Source organism: Homo sapiens, chromosome 5 (assembly GCF_000001405.40).
Source record: "Homo sapiens chromosome 5, GRCh38.p14 Primary Assembly".
Lineage (NCBI taxonomy): Eukaryota > Metazoa > Chordata > Mammalia > Primates > Hominidae > Homo > Homo sapiens.
This window is the reverse complement of record NC_000005.10, coordinates 170,373,758-170,395,377: the sequence shown is the minus strand read 5'-3', so window position 1 is coordinate 170,395,377 and position 21,620 is coordinate 170,373,758. Positions and strand designations below refer to the sequence as shown.

Below are 21,620 nucleotides of genomic sequence, written 5' to 3'. Positions count from 1 at the left end.
GAAAAATGTTTTTGAAATGCTCAGCATCACTAATCATCAGAGAAATGCAAATTAAACCACAATGAGATGTCACCTCGTACCAGTCAGAATAGCTATTACTAAAAAGTAAAAAAATAACAGATGCTGGCAAGGCTGCAGAGAAAAGGGAATGCTTTTACACTGTTGGTGGAAATATAAATTAATTTAGCCCCTGTGGAAAGCACTTTGGAGATTTCTTAAATAACTAAAAATAGAACCATCATTTGACCCAGCAATCCCACTGCTGGATGCATACACAAAGGAAAATAAAGTATTCTACCATAAAGAGACCTGCACTTGTACATTTATTGCCGCACTATTCACAATAGCAAAGGTGTGGAAACAACCTTGGTGCCCAACAACAGCAGATTAGATAAAGACAGTGTGCTACGTATACACCTTGGAATATTACACAGCCATAACAAAGGATGAAATCATGTCCTTTACAGCAAGATGGATACAGCTGGAGGCCATTATGCTAAGCAAATTAATGCGGAAACAGAAAACCAAATATCACATGTTCTCACTTCTAAGTGGGAGCTAATCCCCGGGTAGACACAGACATAAAGACAGGAATAATAGATACTGGGGACTCCAAAAGGAAGGAGGGAGTGGGGCAAAGGCTGAAAATCTTCTTTTTGGGTACTATGTTCACTCTATCAGTGATGGGATCAATAGAAGCTCAAACGTCAGCATCACGCATTACACCCTCACAACAAACCTGCACGTGTATCCCCCGAATCTATAATTAAAATTCAAGAAAGAAAAGTGTTTTATGTACAACTGTGAAACTATAATATATCAATTTAAAGAAGAAAAATGTTTCATGGCATGGGAAAATGATTATAATATTCTGTTATGTAAAAAAGCGAGAGATTTTTTTTCCCGAAAACCAAAGCACGATGACAACAAAACCGCAAGATCTTTGTTTATTCCTCCTGGCGCTAGAGATGCGGCAGTGAATAAGAACGGTTCCAGTCCCTGATTTTAGAGAGCTTACCCTTGGGTTAGGAGACATGTTAATGGAGGATGCACATGAATAAATGTTAAATTACAGGCGGAGGAAGTGTTCTGCAGAAGAGGCATGCGGTGCTCCCAGCATGCGGAAGCAGAGCTTCCGCCTGGCCCAGGAGGCGCGGAGAGTGGCTAAGGGGCTGGGGGCGAGGGAAGGCCCCAGCGGGGAGTCCTGTGGAAGAGGAAGAGCTGGCCAGGAGGCAAGGACAGAGGAGACATGTGCCATGGAAGGAGAGGGCACATGCTTCCTTTATGTGTGTTGAAAAGGCCACCACCACTCTTACAGCAACTCTCTCTGAGCAGTGAGGCTAACACTGTACCTCATCTTCTCCCTGCACTTCCACATCATGCCACTTTCCCACAGAGCTGGGATGATTTGCACTAAGGAAAAAGCATTTTTTTAAAAAAACCAACCTTACCACACAGACAGACAGCAGGGCTGTTTATTTATTTATGCTCCTCTTTGTCTCAAAGAGGATTTTCAAGGTGCTTACAATTATGTTAACAGCATGGCAGGATAAAGGAAGAAAAATCAGGCCAAGGGAAAATATGGTGAAAAGAGTCAGAGGAAAAAGGAGTGAGTATCACCCTACACAGCAGGGAACAACTTTACCATGTTTTTTGTCGTGTCTTGTTGTGTGACCATTTAATTGTAATATCGGCATTTACTTTTGCTGTTGTTATACTTTGTCATCTCAACTCTACTAAAAAACCTCCCACCGTTATTTCCTCTGCCTTTTATTACTGTCTCTCATTTAAAACACATCTTTCACTTTCTGTTCTGTATTTTTGTAGTTGAGGAAATCTGGCATCGCTTTTCTGCAGTGAAGGGACCGTGTCTGAGTCACCTCGGCACAGTGGTGTATCCAGAGCCTCTGCATAGCAAGTGCTGGGATGTCTGTGAACGCACAGCTTCGCTAGGACTGAGAGTGACTAACACCCATCCCTGCAGCACTCAGAGAGGCACACACAGGGGCTCAAGACTCAGTTGCCAATTTGATTTATGGGACTTATTATCCCAAGTGTCAGCAGAGAGGAGATATTGATTCAGAAAGACTTAAATAAACAAGCAGGTGCATAATCCAGAGAGGGGTACAGACTGAGCTGAGGGTGTCTGGAAAGCAGTGGAAGCAGACATCATGAAGAAACCTGGGGTCTCTTGAAAACTGCTCCCAAGGGAGTCATGGGGTGACAGAGGGGCAGGGACGGGCTGTGGAGTCAGCGGGCACAGGTGCACTCCAGGCTCCATCACATCACACGCTAGGGGCGTGACCTTGGGAAAATCACTTTGCCTTGTGCTTTTACAGAAAGAACAAGGCCTTTTGTGGGGGATTGTGGAGAGGAATGTCCATGTGTATGTGTATGTGTATGTATTGCATATCTATGTGGTCATTCCCTGGTACATAGTAGGTGCTTCATAAACAAAAATACCCTCCCATATCACTGCCCTTCTATTCCATTTGTGCCATAGTGTGTGACCTAAGAGTAGATAAAGCACTTTTTTTGTTTGTTTGTTTTGGTTTAGATGGAGTCTCACTCTGTCGCCCAGGCTGGAGTACAGTGGCTCAATCTCAGCTCACTGCGACCTCCGCCTCCTGGATTCAAGTGATTTTCATGCCTCGGCTTCCCAGAATAGCTGGGATTATAGGCACCTGCCATCGTGCCCAGCTAATTTTTGTATTTTTAGTAGAAACGGGGTTTCGCCATGTTGGCCAGGCTGGTCTCGAACTACTGGCCTCAAATGAACCGCCTGCCTTGGTCTCGAAAAGTGCTAGGATTACAGGCATGAGCCACCATGCCCTACCTAGATAAAGCATTTCTAAACTCTCCTGTAACACTCCATATAGCAATCTCAGGTGTTTTAATTCTCACTGGTTTAATCCTACCACTATCACCAGCAACTGTAACAGTCCCCCTTTGAAATCACTTGCAAGTGTGTTCCAGTTACTATGACTGCATAACAAATTACCCCAAAACGCAGGGGCATGAAACATTAGTTTTTTTCTTCTCGTGGATTTTGTGGCTCTGGAATTCAGAGAGAGCACAGAGCAGGTGGGCTGTCTCTGCTCCACATTCTCTGAGGCCTCAGCTGGGAGGCTGGCAGGCTGGGGGCTGGAACTGTCTGCAGGCTTGTTCTCTCCCATGCCCGGTGAGATTTGCTAGCTGTTGGCTGAGATCTGAGCTGAGGCTGTCAGCTGGAGCACGGGGCCTCGGCTTCCTACAACATGGTGGCTGGTTCCCAGGTACATGTCCCGAGAGCGTGTGGGGGGAACTCGAGCCCCCGTCTATGACTTAGCCTTGAACATCGTGCTGTGTCCTTCTACCATATTCTACTATTGAGGCCCTTACGAAGCTCCACCCAGGGTGAAGGGGAAGAGACATCAATGCCCCTCTTGATGGTGGAGTGTTGATGCCACACTGTGAAAAGGGCACATGGAATGGGAAGTATTTGGTGTGACCATCTTTGGAAAGGACAATCTCCATACTATGTGTCAGGTAGCTTAGGTGATCTCTCATTCCTCAAAAACACTGAGGGGCTAGGTATAATTATCTCTATTTTAGAGACAGACAAACTGAAGCTTAGAGAGGCAAAGTAACTTGCTTGGGCAATTTATTTCACCTCTCTGAGGCTCAGTTACTCCCTCTATCAAATGGGTAGAAAAATCTCCACCTCAGTGGTCTATTGTGAGCCTATTGTGCTAGTACCTTAAGAAGCTGTTGGAAGAGTCAGAGAAGATATTTTGTGATCTCTGACACCCCGTACTAATGCAAACCGTCAATATTTATTGTTGCAGCATTGTTATTTTCTTGCCCTCCACCTGTAGCCATCTGTCACACACAACCCCGCAGCCAGCAAAGGACCTGGGTTTTCACCCACAAACCCTCGAGGACAGGGCTTGTCAATGCCTTTTGGTTGTGGCTCATTTAGGGGGAGCAGAAGACCCCACGGCCCCCCTTCCCTGTTTGTTCCCACCTTCCCTTGGGAAGAATGCTAAAGTTTGTTTATGATTTCCAAATAATATGTAGCCCTTAATAACTTATTCAGAGTATCACGAGCAAGGAGCCCTTCGGTTATACTCATAAATGGCAGCCTGTTGCACTGTGTATCTCTCCCCCAGGGAAGCAGGAGGGGGGCCTGGCATTTCTGGATTAGCCCCAGGAGGACTTTTCCTGCTTCTGAGTGGACAGAGGATCATCCTTGGAAAATTGCTCTTCTGAGATTGAATTCCAGATCCTACATCCCTCTGTCAATCTGCCTGCAAGGTCTGAAGCTGGTCTTAGACCCTCTGGTGCTATGGTGCCCATTAAACAGACACTGTAGTCTCCTGTTAATAAGATTCAATTAGGAAAGGGGTGGAGAAGGGCACTCACCGCCTGAGAGTGTGTCAGGGAGGCCTGAGTGGCTGCCTTCATTTCGCGCCTGCTGGAGGCAGGAGGGAGGAAGGTGGTGAGCTCGCTCAGCAGGGAAGGCCAGGCTGCACCCACCTCCCTGGGGGCTGGGGAAACTCAGGGTGACCTCCAGAGCCTCAGGTGGCAGCTTACTGTATGATCGAGGTGATTTTTAATGTCTCAGAGCAGCCCCAGGGTCATCAGAGACAGACCAAGCTGTGCCATCTGGAAGGGCCAGCTTCGAATCTAGTTCTGGCCCCTAGGGTTGCACCAGTGACTTCAAGCCTCCAAGTCTCAGTTTCAGGTTCTTTGATTCTTGGGTCAAGTGAAGGGTGGAGATAAGCTGCCTTCTACCACCACGCCTGATACTTAGGAAAGCCCCAATATCTGGGATTGTTTTTGTTGTTTTGTTGAAAATATATATATATATATATATATTTGTTTTTTTTTTTTGAGACGGGGTCTCGCTCTGTTCAGGCTAGAGTGCAGTGGCACAATCTTGACTCACTGCAACCTCCGCCTCCCAGGTTCAAGCGATTCTCCTGCCTCAGCCTCCCAAGTAGCTGGGACCACAGGCATGCACCACTATGCCCGACTAATTTTTGTATTTTTAGTAGAGATGGGGTTTCGCCATGTTGCCCAGGATGGTCTCAAACTCCTGGGCTTGAGCAATCCATCTACCTTGGCATCCCAAAGTGCTGGGATTATGGGCGTGGGCCACTGTGCCTGCCCTTTGTTGCTGATTTTTAATCCTTACTTCCACTTTACAGATGAAGAAGCAGAGATCTAAAAGCATGTTTTTTGCCTGCAAATGCTGACATTCACTTGTCTTATTGCTAGGAAGAAATCTCTGTACTTTCGCGGTCTCTGGGAGGGCCCCTGGTGAGCAGACTGTCCCTGGACCTGGTTGGAAGCAGTTGTGGAGCTCTCACTACTCCCAGCTTCAGCTCAGTTGGTCCTTAAAAAGTCAGTTCTCTCCCCTTGCCATAAATCCCCACCGTCTCTAACTCCCATCACTACCCTAAAGCAAAGTAGGTTTTAAAAATGCCAGTAACACAAGTGAGAAAACTGAGGTCATTTAACGATAAGTTTGGGAGTAAAACCAAAAACAAAAAAGGAAACTGAGGCCCAGAGAGGTGCCATAACTTGCTCAGGGTCACACAGCACGTAAGTGCCAAAGGCAGGGAGCTGTAGCTGCTCCAGCGTGGATATGCCAGGGACTAGTGACAAGCCCAACCCCTCCAGCCCAACTCCACCCTTCCTCATGCCAACAAAAGGAGAATCATTTCCTATTTCTGGCATCTTTGCCAGCCCACAGAGACAGAGAGAAGAAGAAATATTTCCAAATATACCAGGCTGATCTTTCGTAGTTTCTCAGTCTTGCTGTCTGTTGTTGTTTGAAATCTGTTTCCCACGAGACTCTGGGAAGATGGAGGTGCAGGGCTTGGGTAACAGCTGCCTTCCTCAGGGCTGGGTACCTGCTCTCCGAGTCTGTGTCTCCAGGCTGTGTGCTCAGACTTGACCATGTTTGGGCATGGAGGCTTGCCCCAGATGGGGACCAAAAGCTGCTTCCCTGGAGACGGGCGGGGAGGCCAAACTTCCTGCTGAAGCTCTGTGGCCTCTTTTGGGGTGGGGGCGGGGGTCCAGGCAGAAAGAAACTGTCTGCTGCTCAAGACCCACAGGACGCCGGGAAGACTGTGAGTACCGGGCCTGAAAGCACTTGGGAAGTGATTTCTCTGAAGACCGGGCTGGAGGGAGACAGGGGAAAGCAGCCTGCCACGGGGCAGGGAGGGAGGCAGGCAGGAGGACTCCCTTCCTCTCGGGGCTGTCCTTCTGGATGGAGGGCCCGTGGTCTGGTGGCCAGTGGGGAGGGTGGCACAGTGGCCAGGTTACTCTGGTAGTAAGCGCCCTGGCCCTCTAGGTCCCAGTTCTCAGAGTGGCCAGAAGGCTGCAGCCTGGAGATTAACACCAATGCTGGCACTTGTCACCGGTAGAGAGGTGGGACAAAAATAGATTCATCAAGAGGGGTCCAGACTTCTGCTCCAAACTTTCAGGGTTTCCTTCGTTAGTAGTAATAGCTAATATTTACTGGGGGCTGATTTGGGGCTAGGTGCTATGATACATGTCTGATACTCAATATGGCATTTGATCTTTAGCTGAACTCTCTGAGGCAGGTACCATGGTTCTCGTTTCACAGTCATGTGGTTGCTAAGTGTAAGTGGCAGAGCCAGGATTTGATTCCATGTCTGAGGACCTCAGAATCGCCCTGTCCACACCCCACCAAACTGTTCAACAATGTACTCTATTCCTTGTCCTTCTAAGGAAAAGGATGTCGACCCAGCTATCAGGTCACCCAGGACACTCCAAAGTCCTGCCTTCCTTTGTCCTTCTCCATCTTCTCTGAATCTATCCCAGATCTCAAGTGACCTTTCTAAATGGGAAGATATATCCTGGAACTTCAGAGATATTTAGAAATGCTCAAAACTGGGAAGTTCTTCTTACAGTCTAACTGAAATCCCTCCTATGATAGCTGAAACCCACTTCTTCCTTTTCTTTCTGTCCCTTGGGGGATATTGACAGTTCCCATCCTTCCTCCCGCCAAAGGTTCTCCCTTTGGATGCTGAATACTAACTTCTTGCTGAAGTCATATCTACACTGAACCCCACGCATGGTCTTAGGAGGATTTATCATGACTCTATAAACTCACTCAGTGCAGGCAACAATCTCATCAGACCATTAGAGACGGGTCAGACCTGAATAAGCCAAGTTTCCAGACTTCTCTGTGACAGGGAAGCCTCTCCTTTCCTTTCCTTCTGAGCTCCTAAAACTGGTAAAACCAGGTTCCTGCCTTCACCAGCCTCAGGAGTGCCCAGGGGCCTGAGAGGGCACTAGAAGCCAAATAGCAGAGGAGGCCATGGCCCTGGGCGCTGGGGGGGGCTGATTAGCCAGGAAGGAGCCACAGGAAGCCCCCACAGGTGCGATCCAGTTCCCCCAGGAGAGAAATGGCTTTGTTGTGGGCACTCAGCCCTAGGCTTCCAAGATGGGATTTCCCATTGGCTTCAAATGATTTATGTCTCACAGTATCTGGGGTGGGGCCAAGTGCCAGTGACCCTTGCAGGTCCTGGGGAAGCAGGCTGTTGGGGCTTTTAGCTTACCTCCAGGTGATTCTGTTGCTTTACCTGTGAATACATGGAGAGTCTTGTTCAACTGACGCCAGGTAGAAAAAGGCATGGGCTCTCCCATTCCCACAAGATCACAGAACAGGAGGAAAAGGATTGAATAAAAAGAGTTGAATAAAACATCTCTCTTTGTCGGGGGCAATTTCTGCTTGCTTGTGCTTTTATAATGTCTCCATTAGAATGCAGGAGAAACTCACCTCCTGGTGCCAAATAAAGGAGAAAAAGTTGTCATTGGATGTCACCTCTGCCGATCGATAGGGGAGGTGGACCAGCTCACTGGGAAGGTGTGATGGGTATCCGTGGTGCCTGACCCTGGTCTCTTCCCTTTAGCGGAGATGCCCGGGTATGAGGGCAGCCTGGCTAAGGGGAGGGAGTCAAGAATCTCTGAATATTTGAAACAGTCTAGTAGTTAAGAGACGCCTGAGCAGAAAATAGAGCACTTTGCAGAAAATCTCTTTGGACTAAGGCCTGTCACCCGGACACTGGCTAATTAAACAAACAAAAACCATAATATGTTTATTACTTTAGGGACCTGGCAAGGAGAATAAAGTCCCCCTGATATCTGGCTAAAATTTCCCCTAAATTCCCCTAAAATTTCCCCTAAAATGGAGGATTACATTGATAGCTTCCTGGTATTTTTGGTAGAAATGGACTCTGGTTACTTTAAACAAATAAAAACAACAGCAAATAAATTTACCAGAGGCTCTAGGACAGCTTGCGGAACCATGGGAAATCACGCGGGGACCATGGCTGGGCATCTCTGTGGCTCCAGGCGGCATAGATTGAGGGGCTGTTTCTTGAAGTCTTTGTCAAGACTCACACTCCTGGGGGAGCGATCAGGAGCCTAGCAGGGGAGGGTGGAATCTTTGCTTGCATTGGGGTGGAGTCAATGTCCAGGGGAAAAACAAGGAGTTGCTGCCTAAAGAAAGAGGAGAGAAGGAAAGCAACCACCAGCAGAATGTGCCCATTCTGCTTTGTCCCAGGTGGCTTCAAGCCCTGAAATAAGAAAGCAGTCGCTGAGGCCACCATGATGCCTTCTTTCTTCTTTCTTTGCTTGAAGTAGGGGAATGTTCCTTACAAAAAAAAAAAACACCGGAATATGGTAAACCTCCTGCCTCTCCTGACAACCTGCAGCTGCCTTCTGGGGCCCTCCTCTCCTTTCCCTGCCTGTGCCCGGCCCAGCTAGCCCTGCCACAGAACTGTTTCTGGGCAGAAATACTCCAAGTATCCCTGTGAGATAAGTGCCGTGGAAGGAGGTGCATGGATGATGCACATGTACTGCTCGCTCACCGCATGGGACCTATGACTGTTGTAGCAAATGATCATAAACCTGACGGCCTCAAACGACAGAAATTTCACCAGAAGTCCAAAATCACCAAGGTGTCTGCAGGCTGCACTCCCTGCAGTGGCCGTGGGGGATGAGCCATTGTTCCTTGCCCCCGCCAGCTTCTGACGCACTCCTTGGCCTGTGGTCACATCACTCTAATTGCTGTCTCCCTGGTCATATCACCTTAGCTTTCTCATCTGTTTAATCTCCCTTCACTTCCCTCTTATTAGGACCCTTGGGATTACATTTAGGAGCTACATGGATAATCCAATATTGTCTCCCCATTTCAAGAGCCTTTATCTTTTTTTGTTTTTTGTTTTTTTTTTTGACGGAGTCTTGCTTTGTTGCCCAGGCTGGAGTGCAGTGGCGCATCTCTGCTCACTGCAAGCTCCGCCTCCTGGGTTCATGCCATTCTCCTGCCTCAGCCTCCCCTGTAGCTGGGACTACTGGCTCCCACGACCACACCCGGCTAATTTTTTGTATTTTTTTTTTTTAGTAGAGATGGGGTTTCACCATGTTAGCCAGGATGGTCTTGATCTCCTGACCTCATGATCCGCCCACCTCGGTCTCCGAAAGTGCTGGGATTTCAGGCATGAGCCACCGCACCTGGCCTTCAAGAGCCTTTATCTTAATCATTTCTGCAAAGTCATTGCCACATAAAGTAACATTGATAGCTTCCAGAGACTAGAACATAGACATCTTGGGGGGCCATTACTGAGCCTATTACATACTGTGTGACCTAGGGCAAGTCACTTTACCTCTCTGAGCCGTAGGTCTTTTATCTGCAATTGCCTCTCAATTGCACAGGGAAGGCTTACATGGGGTCCAAAAAGCAAGACTTCTGGAAGTTGCAAAGCTCCAAATATAAACAAGAGTGATATTAATAGTTGAGTACCTTCCCCTCTCACCTGTCCTCTCTTTCTGTGGATCACCTGTGAACTGGGCTGATCTCACTTCTGTTTGCTTCTGTGGACCTAGAAATGATCACTGCCCCCAGTGAATATGGTGAAGAAGCTGGTGATGGCCCAGAAGCGGGGAGAGACACGAGCCCTTTGCCTGGGTGTAACCATGGTGGTGTGTGCCGTCATCACCTACTACATCCTGGTCACGACTGTGCTGCCCCTCTACCAGAAAAGGTACTGAGCTCTCCCGGCCTGCCCACCCCCCAACCCTCTCCTAAGGGTCTGGCATCTGTAAGGAACCCTGGCCTTCTACTCACCCCTCTCCTTGACCCTCATTCAAGGCAGCAGGGTCAAGACGATGCTCATTCTTAGGTTCTAGGGTTCAAGTGCAGGGAAGGTAGGATGAACTGAGCCCCACTGGTCTGAGATTCTAGGACCTGGTGGTAACAGACACATGATCTAGGACGTGGTGGTAACAGACACATGATGCCCTTCTCAGAAGAAATAGCAAAGAATCAGAGCAAAGGTTCCAGTGCAAGTTTGATCCCAGGAGGAATCAGAGAATTGCAGATGTTTACAGCTCAGCTGCATAATTCTCTCCCCTCTGAAGCCTCCCTGTCAGGTGGGCATCCAGCCTCCTGATGAATACCTCAAGAGACGGGGAGCTCCTTGCCTCACTGAACATACATTTCATGTTTGAGGTTTTCTGATGTGTCTGCATTGAGCCAGCATCTGCTTCCCTGAAGTTCTGCTCAGGAATCTCAGAGAATGGTCCATGCCCTTGCTCCATGACATATCAACCACTTGAGATTTTAAGGAAAAGCTGTGAATTCCTAATTCGTGTTCTATTTGGAACAAAGACACTCAGTTCCCCCAGCCTGTCCTTAGGATAAGTCTCAGACCTGTGCTCTGGGCACGTTCCAGCAGCTGACAGCCCCCTTCTGACTGGCAATGGGTCTCCCACAGGATACTTGGGAGTTGAAGCACAACTGATTTACTAATATGTTGATGAACCTGTTAGCCTCTCCCGGGCCTGCTGCAGCCTCACTCTTCACAACGCTGAAGCGATTCCAGGCTGGACTCTTAATCTGGTGAAGCACCATCTAGAGACTGTCCCCACCATCTTTCCCATCCTGGCTCAACTCAAACCCCTTCTACATCTGCTCCTTTTAGGGGAAAGAACACAGCTCTCCAACCCACTCAGACCTAGCTTCAGGTCCTGCAAGGTCTCAGCAAAGTCACTTGACCTTTCTGAGTTTCTCTTCTGCCTCTGCAAAATGAAGACGATATGGATAAGAAAGTCTCAGGTTTGGCTGCTCGTCAGAATCACATCAGGGAGCTTTGAAAAAACACCCAGGGCCTGGGCCAAACCACCCAAGAAGTTCTGATTCACTTGCTCTGGGGTGTAGCTTGGACACGGGAATCTTTTTAGAAGCTCCCCAGGTTGTTGCAAGAGTAGCCAAGGTTGAGAACCAGTCATATAGATAATGTCTAAGACCCCATCCAGCTTCTACAATTCCTCCCTGTGTCCGGGGACTGTGGGGTCATGTGCCTTTATTGCTGGATGCTGAAGACAAGATGAGGATCCCAGTCCTGGATCCCTCTAGAGGCTCCCAGGGGATAATGGGTTCAAATGGGTGTTCTGTGTGTCACCCAGTTCTGAGATGTGTATGTGTGCATGTGTGTGGTCTCCTCAGCGTGTGGACCCAGGAATCCAAGTGCCACCTGATTGAGACCAACATCAGGGACCAGGAGGAGCTGAAGGGCAAGAAGGTGCCCCAGTACCCATGCCTGTGGGTCAACGTGTCAGCTGCCGGCAGGTGGGCTGTGCTGTACCACACGGAGGACACTCGGGACCAGAACCAGCAGGTACTGAACTGGAGGGATGGGGACACATCCCTTTATCCCTGTCAGGTGTGTGAGCCTGTTCCTAACTGTCCCTGTCCCCGAGGCTGAGAAAGATCAACCCACTTGACCAGGTCTCACAGCTGGAATGAGACTGAGCCAGCCCTAGCTCTTCTGTGTTGGAGTCACACAGACCTGGGTTTGAATCTGCCGCTAACTGGCTGTGTAAACATAGGCAGGCCACTTAGCCTCTCACCTCCTCAGTTTCCACCCTTGTAAAGTGGAATGCTAATGCTGCACCTTGAAGAGCTGTTATCAAGTCAGAGACGCTGTATATAAAGTGCCACGCTTGATGCTGAGTGGATAGTGGGCACTCAAACAAAAGCAGTGATTAGTGTTAGTACTTTCATTCTACAACCTCAGTCAAATGAGGGACCAGGCCCAGGGCCAGATCCTCAAAGTGGAATCCCGGTGACTCCCCAGGAAACCAGGGACTCAGGGCTGGAGTAACCTCCATAAACAAACATTTAGATGGTTTTTCCATCCTTGCATCCCAACATCCCACCCTCCCCCTCCAAAACACAAAACTCACCACCATATCCTTTCCTAAAGCGATCAGTTGGCCCATATTCTGTCTCTCTTCCTTCCTTCTTTCTTTCCTTCTTTTTTCCCTTTCTTCCCTCCTTCTTTCTTTTCTTTTTTTTCCCCTCCCTCCTTCCCTCCCTCTCTCCCTCCCTTCCTTCCTTCCTTCCTTCCTTCCTTGTTTCCTTCTTTCCTCCTCTCATTTATTTATTCAACAGCCATTGAGCACCTCCTGTGTCAAGCCTGTAGGACTCAAGAGGAGAGAGCTCATGCATGAACAGTGCCTAGCAGGGAAGAATTGGCACCGGGGAGAAGAACAGAGGAAGTTACAGGGGTTAGAGGAGGGGGATGTTTTCCAGCTGACAATGATGGGGGTATCAGAAAGGCTCTTGGTGAGATTGCACCATTGCACTCCAGCCTGGCAACAAGAGTGAAACTCCATCTCAAAAAAAAAAAAAAAAAAAAGAAAGGCTCTTGGATTAGGCTTTTAACATCAGGCAGGCGCAGGATGCAAGGCATAGAGAATGAGGTGATATAGGAAGCGGGTATGCCTATAGGACGAGGCATGGCGGAGGGAAGGGCTAGGTGGAGACAGGGATCAGAGGGCTGACTACAGAAAATGACCCATGATGGGGTGTATGCAGCTGGAAAAGGCTGTCAGGGCAGACTAAGGTCTGTTCCCAGAGGCCTTTGATCACCACAATATGGAATTAAAATGTGAGTGTGTATGTCTCAAGATATGTCAACTTTGGCTATGCATTAGAACCCTGTAAGAGTCTTAAAAAACAAAACTAGGGTCCAACACTAGACATATCAAGGTGGAATCTCTGGTCAGAGATCCATTCATGGAGCTCCCAAGGTGATTCTAAGGTTGGAAATTATTGCTGTTGGCAATGGGAATCTTTAGGGCATGATCAGAGTTTCAGAGTTGGGCTGGGAAGATGGAGCCTACAGGTGTGTGGGTCCAGTTACTAGACAGAGGAGCCAAGGCCGCAGCAAGCACTCACGACCAAGATGTGGCCTGCAGCAGGGGAGATGCTGACAGTCCGGACTTGATGGCTGATGGGACGGGAAGGGGCAGGGTGCCTGGGATGGGGCGTGGAGGCTGGGGGATCTTGAGAGTGCTGAAGGTCAATGAGAAGTGGGTCTGGGCAGTGCAGGATGGTCAGGTGTTCTGTCATCGCTAGTATGACTCGGCCCCACCCGGTGGAGAGAGGTCTCAGGGCCCACTGGAGGCAGCTCCTACCCATGACCCCTGCCTCTGCGTTGGCATTCAGTAGCCCTTGATTTATCCCAATGCAAGAAACAAATTTTCAATAACTGGTAACATTCTCCGGGAGTGATATGGGCCAGAGCAGGCTGGTTTTCAGGCTGCCTCCCTGGTCCTGAGATTGCCAGCTCAGAGGAGCATCCCCTGAATGAACTGTCAGCAGGATGTGAAGGAAGGACATGCTGGAGCCACTGCTGTCCTCTCCCCTGCCGCCCAGGCTTGACCAGGTGTGGTGCTGATAGCAGGCTGCAGGAGCTGGGAGGAAGCAGTGGAAATGCCCTTCGTGTTTTTGCCAAGCAGCTGGGTTGTGGGCTAGCTGCTCCTTCCGCCTATGTCCATCATAGGGGTTCAAGTGGCTGGGGCTCCAGGCTAGCTGGGTGTCCTCTGGAATCACTGTGAAGGGCCAAGAAGACTCTCATCCCACCCTCCAACTCTGAAGGTAGGGGCCATAGTCTGCCCTCAGCTTTTCCTGTGAGTCTTAGCCTGGAGCAGGTGAGTTCTAAATTCCCTCCCATTGTCTGTCCTGGGGACCTTACACTGCAGGGCTTGGGAAAAAGCTGGTTGGTTTCAGATCATTCAGATAACTCAGGCTTAGCTGGACCCAGGACAGGAGAGAAAGGATGCATTCAGGCCCCGGCTTCTGGGTTTGGCCATGAAGAGTGAATTCCTGCCCAGTGTCTTGCCAAACAGGCCCAGCATAAAAGATCCAGAGGAACCCTGAGCAGGCAGAGGATACACTAGGCCCAGGATGGACAGAAGCCTCTACTTCAGAGCTCATCCATAGACCTCTTTTTAAGAAGGTAAAGAAGGAGCTGTTGTTGCAATTTCATAGATAAGTCAAAACATATTATTATTAATAATAGCATCTTCCACTTTTTTGAGTTCTTATCGTGTGCTGGGCTTCTGTGCTCAGTGCTTTACATGCATCATCTCATTTAATCCCCATGACAGTTCTCCTAGGCAGGTAGCCTCACAAACCCATTTTACAAGGCCCAGTGAGGTTGTGGCAGTTGCCAAGGTCACACAGCTCAGAACTCAGGCCTGTCTGACTCCATAGCCACACTGCTATTTAAGGAGCTAGGTTAGCCAAGGTCACAGTCAGAGGCATTGGAGAGACTCAGGCCAGGCCCCCTCACCGTCAGCTCAGGATGCTGGATTATATGCTACTGAGGACCTGGCAGTGTCCAACAGCTCTGAATGCCAGATTCCTGAGGAGCCAGCGTCTCCCCAGCCTCAGCTACTCCCTGGCTGGCTGGGGCCCTAGATCTGAGTGCAGCATCTGCATTTCCCAGGCTGTGAGAACTACAGTGCAACCCTCCTCTGTGTTGCTGGAGTGAATGCCCTCAGGGCAGGCAGCTTCCAGGGTGGCACCTCATATAAATCCAGGGAGTGGCCGAGGCCTGCAAGGAATCTGGCTCAACACCTGCCATTTGGGTCTCAGTTTTACACATTTTGATCTTGCACATGATTTCACTAGGGCAAAATTAAGTGCATGAAGGAATCACACATTCCTGGGTCTCGCCCTCAGTGATGCAGAGTGGGTAGGGACCTGGGCTATGGGGGCCCTGTAGGTATTCTGCTGCAGATGGGGGCACCACACTTGCAGCTCAGAACAGAGATAAAACCAGATAAAACTCCGCTTTATGACTGCTTTGCATCACTTTCCAGCTGGCCTCATCTGAACAGGGCAGAAAGTTCCTAATAACAATAATCAACGTCAGAATTAAATGTGTGTCATGCTCTGCTGGCACAAAACTCTTTTCAATGCATTCTTTCTTTCCTTTGGATCCCAGTGTCAAATACCCGCTTGCCAACATAGTTTGTTTGCTGTACACAGGTTGAAACTGCAAAGGTTTTCAATTTTAAATTTAGCTAATATTTTACTTTTTTTTTTTTTTTGAAATGGGATCTCGCTTTGTTGCCTTACCTGGAGTGTAGTTGCGAGATCATAGCTCACTGCAGCCTCCAACTCCTGGGCTCAGGTGATCCTCCCACCTCAGTCTCCTGTGTAGCTGGGACTACAGGTACACCACCATGCCCACCTGGATAATTTTTAACTTTTTTTGTAGAGATAAAGTCTTGCTATGTTGCCTAGGCTAGTCTCGAACTCCTGGGCTCAAGGGATCCTTCCCCTTCGGCTTCCCAAAGTGTTAGGATTACAGGTGTGATCTGGTTTCTAACTTCTCTTAAAGTGTTGGAGGTCTGGCTATTATAGATCTTCTGGATGGCCTGACATCCATTGCCTGGAGGGAGTGGTGACTGCCTGTCTGGAGGCAGCTGGCTCTCTCCCTATTGACAGGCCCTGCCACACCCTGGCAATTCTTCCTGGCACCAAGGCAAGAGTCAGTGGGCACCTGTCATCTCATTGCTTTGCCTGCTTCACCCTCTGACAATACCTTCATGAGCCCTGTAGGCAATTGAGCACATGATCTCGATTTCAAATACACAGCCCACTTGGCCTGTGTCCCTCCCTGGTTTCCTTAGATAGCTCTGTGTGAAGTCCTTCTTTCATAATATCCTTTGAAACCGATATTCACCCATTTAAGTGATGAAGCTTCAGGGCTCAGAAAGAGTGAGAAATTTGCCAAAAATTCTACAGCCAATCCAAGCAGAGCCAGGACTCCAAGGTAGGACCTGCGCCCAGGTGTGTAGCCTGTACCCCGAGCAGCTCCAGCACCGCCATCCACACACAAGACACAAATGAGAGCGTGCTCTCCAGACCTGTACAGCGCATGGCCTGCCAAGCTTTAGACCAAAGCCCCGACTCCAATCCAGGGGCCCGACTACAAAGCTGGTATTTTTCTTTACTCCATATCAAGCCCTTGGCTAAGAAATGGGGATTTCCAAGCCCACAGCTGCTCTTGTTTCTCCCCACAGTGCTCCTACATCCCAGGCAGCGTGGACAATTACCAGACGGCCCGGGCCGACGTGGAGAAGGTCAGAGCCAAATTCCAAGAGCAGCAGGTCTTCTACTGCTTCTCCGCACCTCGGGGGAACGAAACCAGCGTCCTATTCCAGCGCCTCTACGGGCCCCAGGCCCTCCTCTTCTCCCTCTTCTGGCCCACCTTCCTGCTGACCGGTGGCCTCCTCATTATCGCCATGGTGAAGAGCAACCAGTACCTGTCCATCCTGGCGGCCCAGAAGTAGAGCCATCCATCCATGCCATACCACTTGTCAGGGCACAGGGGACTGGCTGGGCCCCCAGGGCTGCTCCCCACTTGCAGCACAATGCCTTCTCCACCTGCCCTCCCACTCTTCCAGTCCAATCCACGCTGTCTTCTGTTGCAGGACTAACCTTTGAGAAATCCTTTTGTGAAGTCATTGCCTGCTCAAGAATGTACAGTGGCTCCCCAATGCCTTGGAGGCCATAAGGCCAGCCAGTTCTAGCTCTCTATTACCTGTCCCCACTCAACTGACTCATACCTGTTTCCGGCTGCATCACTATGTGCCCCACAGAGAACGATGATCGTCACCTCTGTGCCTGAGTTCTCCCTGTTGTCTCAAAGCGGTACCCATCCTCCCCCAGAAGCTGTCCCCAGCGAGCCTCCCTTCTTTGTTTGAATTCTCTAATAAGAGCAACAGCAGCTCCCATTTCTAGAACACATTTACAGTATTACTATTTTCTAGGATATAAAGTGCCATATATATTTTTAATTCCAATATTAATAAATGTATGCCAAACAACAATCAGCTGCAAGGAAACACATGAGAACTCATCAAAATTTTAGCGGTGGGATGGTGGTTAATTTCTGTTTTCTTCCTTATCCCCTTTTTATTTTTGCTGCTTTTCTAAATTTTTGATTATAGGAAGGGTGTGTTTCGTTTGCTTTTAATCAGAAAAGCCATGGTAGATGCCATTTTGGAAAAGTTGAAAGAGTGTGTCCCCCTCACAGAAAAAGATGGAAGTGGGTCTGGGGACGGAGTTGGGTTCCAGTCAGAGACAGGCCATTCAGAACACACAATCTTAAAAACCCCTCTGGGCCGGGCGCGGTGGCTCACTCCTGTAATCCCAGCACTTTGGGAGGCCGAGGCTGGTGGATCACGAGGTCAGGAGATCAAGACCATCCTGGCTAACATGGTGAAACCCCGTCTCTACTAAAAATACAAAAAATTAGCCAGGCGTGGTGGTGGGCACCTGTGGTCCCAGCTACTCAGGAGGCTGAGGCAGGAGAATGGCGTGAACCCGGGGTTCGGAGCTTGCAGTGAGCCGAGATTGTGCCACTGCACTCCAGCCTGGTGATAGAACAAGACTCCGTCTCAAAAAAAAAACAAAAAACAAAAAATGAAAAACAACCCTCTGGAGGAAAGGTCATGATATAGAGGAGGATTTGTTATTTAAATTGAGGGTATGGACTCTGGCACTGAGCCTGCTGGGGAAGCCTATCTCAGATTTGAAAAGGGCAAAATGGGAAGAAGCCATCACCTTTACCATTCCCACTCCAGGAAGTTTTCCTAGAACGATGACTGTCCAAGTGTGGTCCCTGGGCCAGCAGCATCAGGATCCTGTGGCAGCTTGTGAGAAATGCACACTCTCAGGCCCCTGTCCCAGCCCCACCACGCCAGAAGCCCTGCACGGGGTGGGGGTAGCAATGTTCTGTGTTCTAACAATGCGTAGGGGATTCTGTGGCACACCTCGAGCCAGAGAACTACCGGTGTAGGAAGTGAGCGTCCTGTCGCGAGGATTTTCAGAGCAGGTGAGTGACCATTCGGCAGGGCCAGTCCTGAGCTGGGTGTGAAGTTAGGCTGGTGTCTGAAGTTTCTTCCAGTGTTGTGAGTCCAAGATGCAGATCTTGGGTTTGAATCCTGTCTCTACTCTGCCCGATTTCATCTCTTTGATTCTTAGTTTTTTCATCTATAAAAGAAGGACTCTTTCTGGATAGTTGGGAGGGCTGAAGGAATGTTTGACACATCATAGGTGTTTAAAATGGCAACTATAGTTTTTTTTGTTTGTTTTGTGTGTGTGTTTTTTTCTTAACTTTCATTTTAAGTTGCAGGGTACACGTTCAGGTTTGTTACATAGGTACACTTGTGTCAAGGGAGTTTGTTGTGCAGATTATTTCATCACCCAGGTATTAAGTCTAGTACCCATTATTAAAGAAAATGTGGTACGTATACGTCATGGAATATTATGCAGCCATAAAAAGGAAGGAGATCATGTCCTTTGCAGGGACATGGATGGAGCTGGAGGCCAAATATTATCCTTAGCAAACTAACACAGGGACACAAAACTAAATACTGTATATTCTCACTTATAAGTGGGAGCTAAATGATGAAAACACATGGACACAAAGAGGGGAACAACACACACTGAGGCCTATTGGAGGGCGGGAGGTAGGAGGAGGGAGAGGATCAGGGAAAAAGAGCTATTGTTAGTAACAAGAAAAAGTCGGCCGGGCGTGGTGGCTCACACCTGTAATCCCAGCACTTTGGGAGGCCGAGGTGGGCAGATCACGAGGTCAGGAGATCGAGACCATCCTGGCTAACACGGTGAAACCCTGTCTCTACTAAAAAATAGAAAAAATCATAGCCGGGCGTGGTGGTAGCCGCCTGTAGTCCCAGCTGCTCAGGAGGCTGAGGCAGAAGAATGGCGTGAACCCGGGAGGCGGAGCTTGCAGTGAGCCGAGATCGCGCCACGGCACTCCAGCCTGGGTAACAGAGCAAGACTCTGTCTCAAAAAAAAAAAAAAAAAAAAAAAAAAAAGAATAAGTCATGAATACTCAGAAACTTCCAGAAGTTATACTGACAATGTTATCTGGCATGTATGGGTGCTTATTTATTCTGTGCCAGGCACTGTACTAATTAGTTTGCCTTGGAAAAAAAAATGAGATACTCCTGAACCTGCCTCACAGATGATGAGAAGCAACAGAGGACAGTGGCTAAGTATGTGGACTTGGGATGTGCACTGTTTGGGTTCAAATTCCAGCTGTGCTGTTCACAAGCTGGGTGACTTTGGACGAATAACCTTTCTGTGCCTGTTTCCTCGTTTGCAAAACGAAACTGATAATAGTATCTTTCCATAGAGTTTTGGCATGAAACAAATTTTTATGTAAATTTCCTAGGATAGTGACATATGGTAAGTGCTATCTAAGTTACTATGAAAAACTGAGGCTGTAAGAGGTAACTGGCCAAGGCCATCTGTAAAGTGAGGGGCTAGGACTCAAGCCTGGAGCTGTGTGTTCCAGTACCTGGCATCTCAACCACAGAACTCAGCAGAGCCAGCTGTGAAGGGCTGAGGGACAGAGCCAGCTGTGAAGGGCTGAGGGGCAGAGCCAGCTGTGAAGGGCTGAGGGGCAGAGCCAGCTGTGAAGGGCTGAGGGACACAGCCACTCAAAGCCACAGGGGCCAGGCAGGGAGCTGCGTTGCATCCCTGGAACCCAGGTGCCCTCATGCAGGTTGGAGTTCTGAGGGGAGGCCCTGGCATCTGCACCAGCATCTGCCAATTCCAGCCAGGGAGCCCAGAGGTATCCCTGTGGCCTCCAGTTTCTTACCTGGTGGACCTTCCTTCCAAAGGCAGGCAGCTCATCATTCCCTGGAATTTTTTCCTTCTGGGGTCAGGGAAGTCTCAAAGGTCCTCATGTGAGTCTTTTAAGAAAGTCTTAATTGTAATATTGTACTATAGTTTTGCAAAATATTAAATATTACCATTGGGGACATTAGGTAGAGGGGGCACGGAATGTCTCTGTATTATTTCGTAAAGCTTCATGTGAATCTACAATTATCTCAAAAATTTAAGTTAAAAAAGGAAGAAAAATAAGAAAGGAAGTCCCAACTTGGAGTCTGATTTAAAGGGTCTATTTTGTCAATGGTTTCCATGCACCTGAATTTGGGACTAAAATACACAGAAACTCAGAATACCCAAACAATCCCTGCAGGGGAAAAGGCCATGTTCCTCTAGAAAAATTAGTATGTGAGGATGCCTAACCCCCACTGTCCCATAAATTATTAATGATGACCTTCATTTGCTTGAGATAGATGTTCTCCTCCTGTCAATAAAGACTGGCCTTCTAGCAAATGCCACAACTGTCTGCTGCTCACAGAACTTTATGCACGGGATAAGCATGAAATAATGGGAATTTAGGCATGATGGAGTTAGACCCTGTGCCTACGTGTTTTTTTGCAATAATATCTGCCTGGGAGCAGAGAACCTTCATCAGTTCTTAATAAACCACTCTGCTAATGAGTGTCTAGTGCTTCCATCATTTATTATTGTCCTCTCATGGACTAGTGACTCATACCTGGAGAGGTGCACCTGGATGGTTCTCCCATGTGCCGTCCTCCAGAACTCAGACAAAGCGGTGGAATTCAGAGGCAAGGGGCCACCTGAGCTCCAGAACTGGGGTGGAAAGAACCCTGGGGGACATCCTAACAGTGCCAGGTCTCAGACAGAGCTTCAGCTCATCAGTCCAAGCTGCAACCAGAGGAGGAAAGAAATGAGGGTTTCTTCTATTTATGAAGATCTCAGAGGACTGGAATTTCACTTCACTTTTATGATGTATCTATTTGCTTGCCTGCAAGGAACTTGGTGTCTTCTTGCCATTCTCCCTCCCTACCCCTCACTAATCATTGTGAGGGGCTTCCTTCTTCACAGTGAAGACTCAGCATTATGCAGATTTAAAATAATGCAATATAAATATTAATATAATCTTATTTTCTGTGACTTACTGAAGTGATACCAGCTCCTCCTCTAAATCAACAACTCATCCAAAATTTATCTTAAACTCCTTGGGTCAGGGCATTGCAAACTGCATTTATTTTATTGTTCATTGGCAGCACAGGCTGTTATGTGAGAATATCCAGTATTCTTTGAATTGGTCTTGTGTTTGGGGGAGTTTGAATTCTATGAAATATTTAAGAAGACACTGTTTGAGCAAAGTGCCACCTTCCTGTACCTCACCAGCCATTGCCCTGTCACATGGAAGGGAAAGAAAATGACCAAAGAAAGATCAGAGAGACATGGAGAAATTCACTACAGTCCAGTGTAGCAGTTCTCAAAGTGGAGGCTTGCAAAGTCAAAACTCTGTTCATAATAATACTAAGACATTATTTGCCTTTTTCATTTTCATTCTCTTATGAGAGTGCAATGGAATGTTCCA

General features: G+C 48.3%; 2 protein-coding genes and 1 long non-coding RNA gene across 5 annotated transcripts in view, besides 6 other annotated features; 1 reads left to right on the top strand and 2 right to left on the bottom strand.

The window, feature by feature from the left end:
* KCNIP1-OT1 (KCNIP1 overlapping transcript 1) overlaps positions 1–5,885 on the bottom strand; it is a 33,352-nt gene extending 27,467 nt beyond the window's left edge. The window contains exon 1 of the long non-coding RNA NR_109899.1: positions 5,775–5,885. This is a non-coding gene — a long non-coding RNA (KCNIP1 overlapping transcript 1). The remainder of the gene's footprint in view (positions 1–5,774) is intronic.
* The window catches only part of KCNIP1 (potassium voltage-gated channel interacting protein 1), a 383,146-nt gene that overhangs the window by 341,255 nt on the left and 20,271 nt on the right, over positions 1–21,620 (bottom strand). The gene's annotated exons all lie outside the window — the stretch shown is intronic.
* Positions 2,715–3,215: an enhancer, noted in NCBI's record as "H3K4me1 hESC enhancer chr5:169819167-169819667 (GRCh37/hg19 assembly coordinates)". NCBI's record gives its function as "activates a minimal SCP1, AML or CMV promoter by ChIP-STARR-seq in primed H9 embryonic stem cells {active_cell/tissue: H9 hESC(primed)}" and the evidence as "EXISTENCE:reporter gene assay evidence [ECO:0000049][PMID:30033119]".
* Positions 3,216–3,716: an enhancer, noted in NCBI's record as "H3K4me1 hESC enhancer chr5:169818666-169819166 (GRCh37/hg19 assembly coordinates)". NCBI's record gives its function as "activates a minimal SCP1, AML or CMV promoter by ChIP-STARR-seq in primed H9 embryonic stem cells {active_cell/tissue: H9 hESC(primed)}" and the evidence as "EXISTENCE:reporter gene assay evidence [ECO:0000049][PMID:30033119]".
* Positions 3,969–4,469: an enhancer, noted in NCBI's record as "H3K4me1 hESC enhancer chr5:169817913-169818413 (GRCh37/hg19 assembly coordinates)". NCBI's record gives its function as "activates a minimal SCP1, AML or CMV promoter by ChIP-STARR-seq in primed H9 embryonic stem cells {active_cell/tissue: H9 hESC(primed)}" and the evidence as "EXISTENCE:reporter gene assay evidence [ECO:0000049][PMID:30033119]".
* Positions 4,470–4,970: an enhancer, noted in NCBI's record as "H3K4me1 hESC enhancer chr5:169817412-169817912 (GRCh37/hg19 assembly coordinates)". NCBI's record gives its function as "activates a minimal SCP1, AML or CMV promoter by ChIP-STARR-seq in primed H9 embryonic stem cells {active_cell/tissue: H9 hESC(primed)}" and the evidence as "EXISTENCE:reporter gene assay evidence [ECO:0000049][PMID:30033119]".
* On the top strand, positions 6,011–20,707 carry KCNMB1 (potassium calcium-activated channel subfamily M regulatory beta subunit 1). The gene is made up of 4 exons (NM_004137.4): positions 6,011–6,119; positions 9,907–10,064; positions 11,528–11,699; positions 16,405–20,707. The coding sequence occupies exons 2-4, from the start codon at positions 9,931–9,933 to the stop codon at positions 16,672–16,674; spliced, it is 576 nt and encodes a 191-aa protein (NP_004128.1). The 5' UTR covers positions 6,011–6,119; positions 9,907–9,930; the 3' UTR covers positions 16,675–20,707.
* Positions 6,895–7,395: an enhancer, noted in NCBI's record as "H3K4me1 hESC enhancer chr5:169814987-169815487 (GRCh37/hg19 assembly coordinates)". NCBI's record gives its function as "activates a minimal SCP1, AML or CMV promoter by ChIP-STARR-seq in naive H9 embryonic stem cells {active_cell/tissue: H9 hESC(naive)}" and the evidence as "EXISTENCE:reporter gene assay evidence [ECO:0000049][PMID:30033119]".
* Positions 7,396–7,896: an enhancer, noted in NCBI's record as "H3K4me1 hESC enhancer chr5:169814486-169814986 (GRCh37/hg19 assembly coordinates)". NCBI's record gives its function as "activates a minimal SCP1, AML or CMV promoter by ChIP-STARR-seq in naive H9 embryonic stem cells {active_cell/tissue: H9 hESC(naive)}" and the evidence as "EXISTENCE:reporter gene assay evidence [ECO:0000049][PMID:30033119]".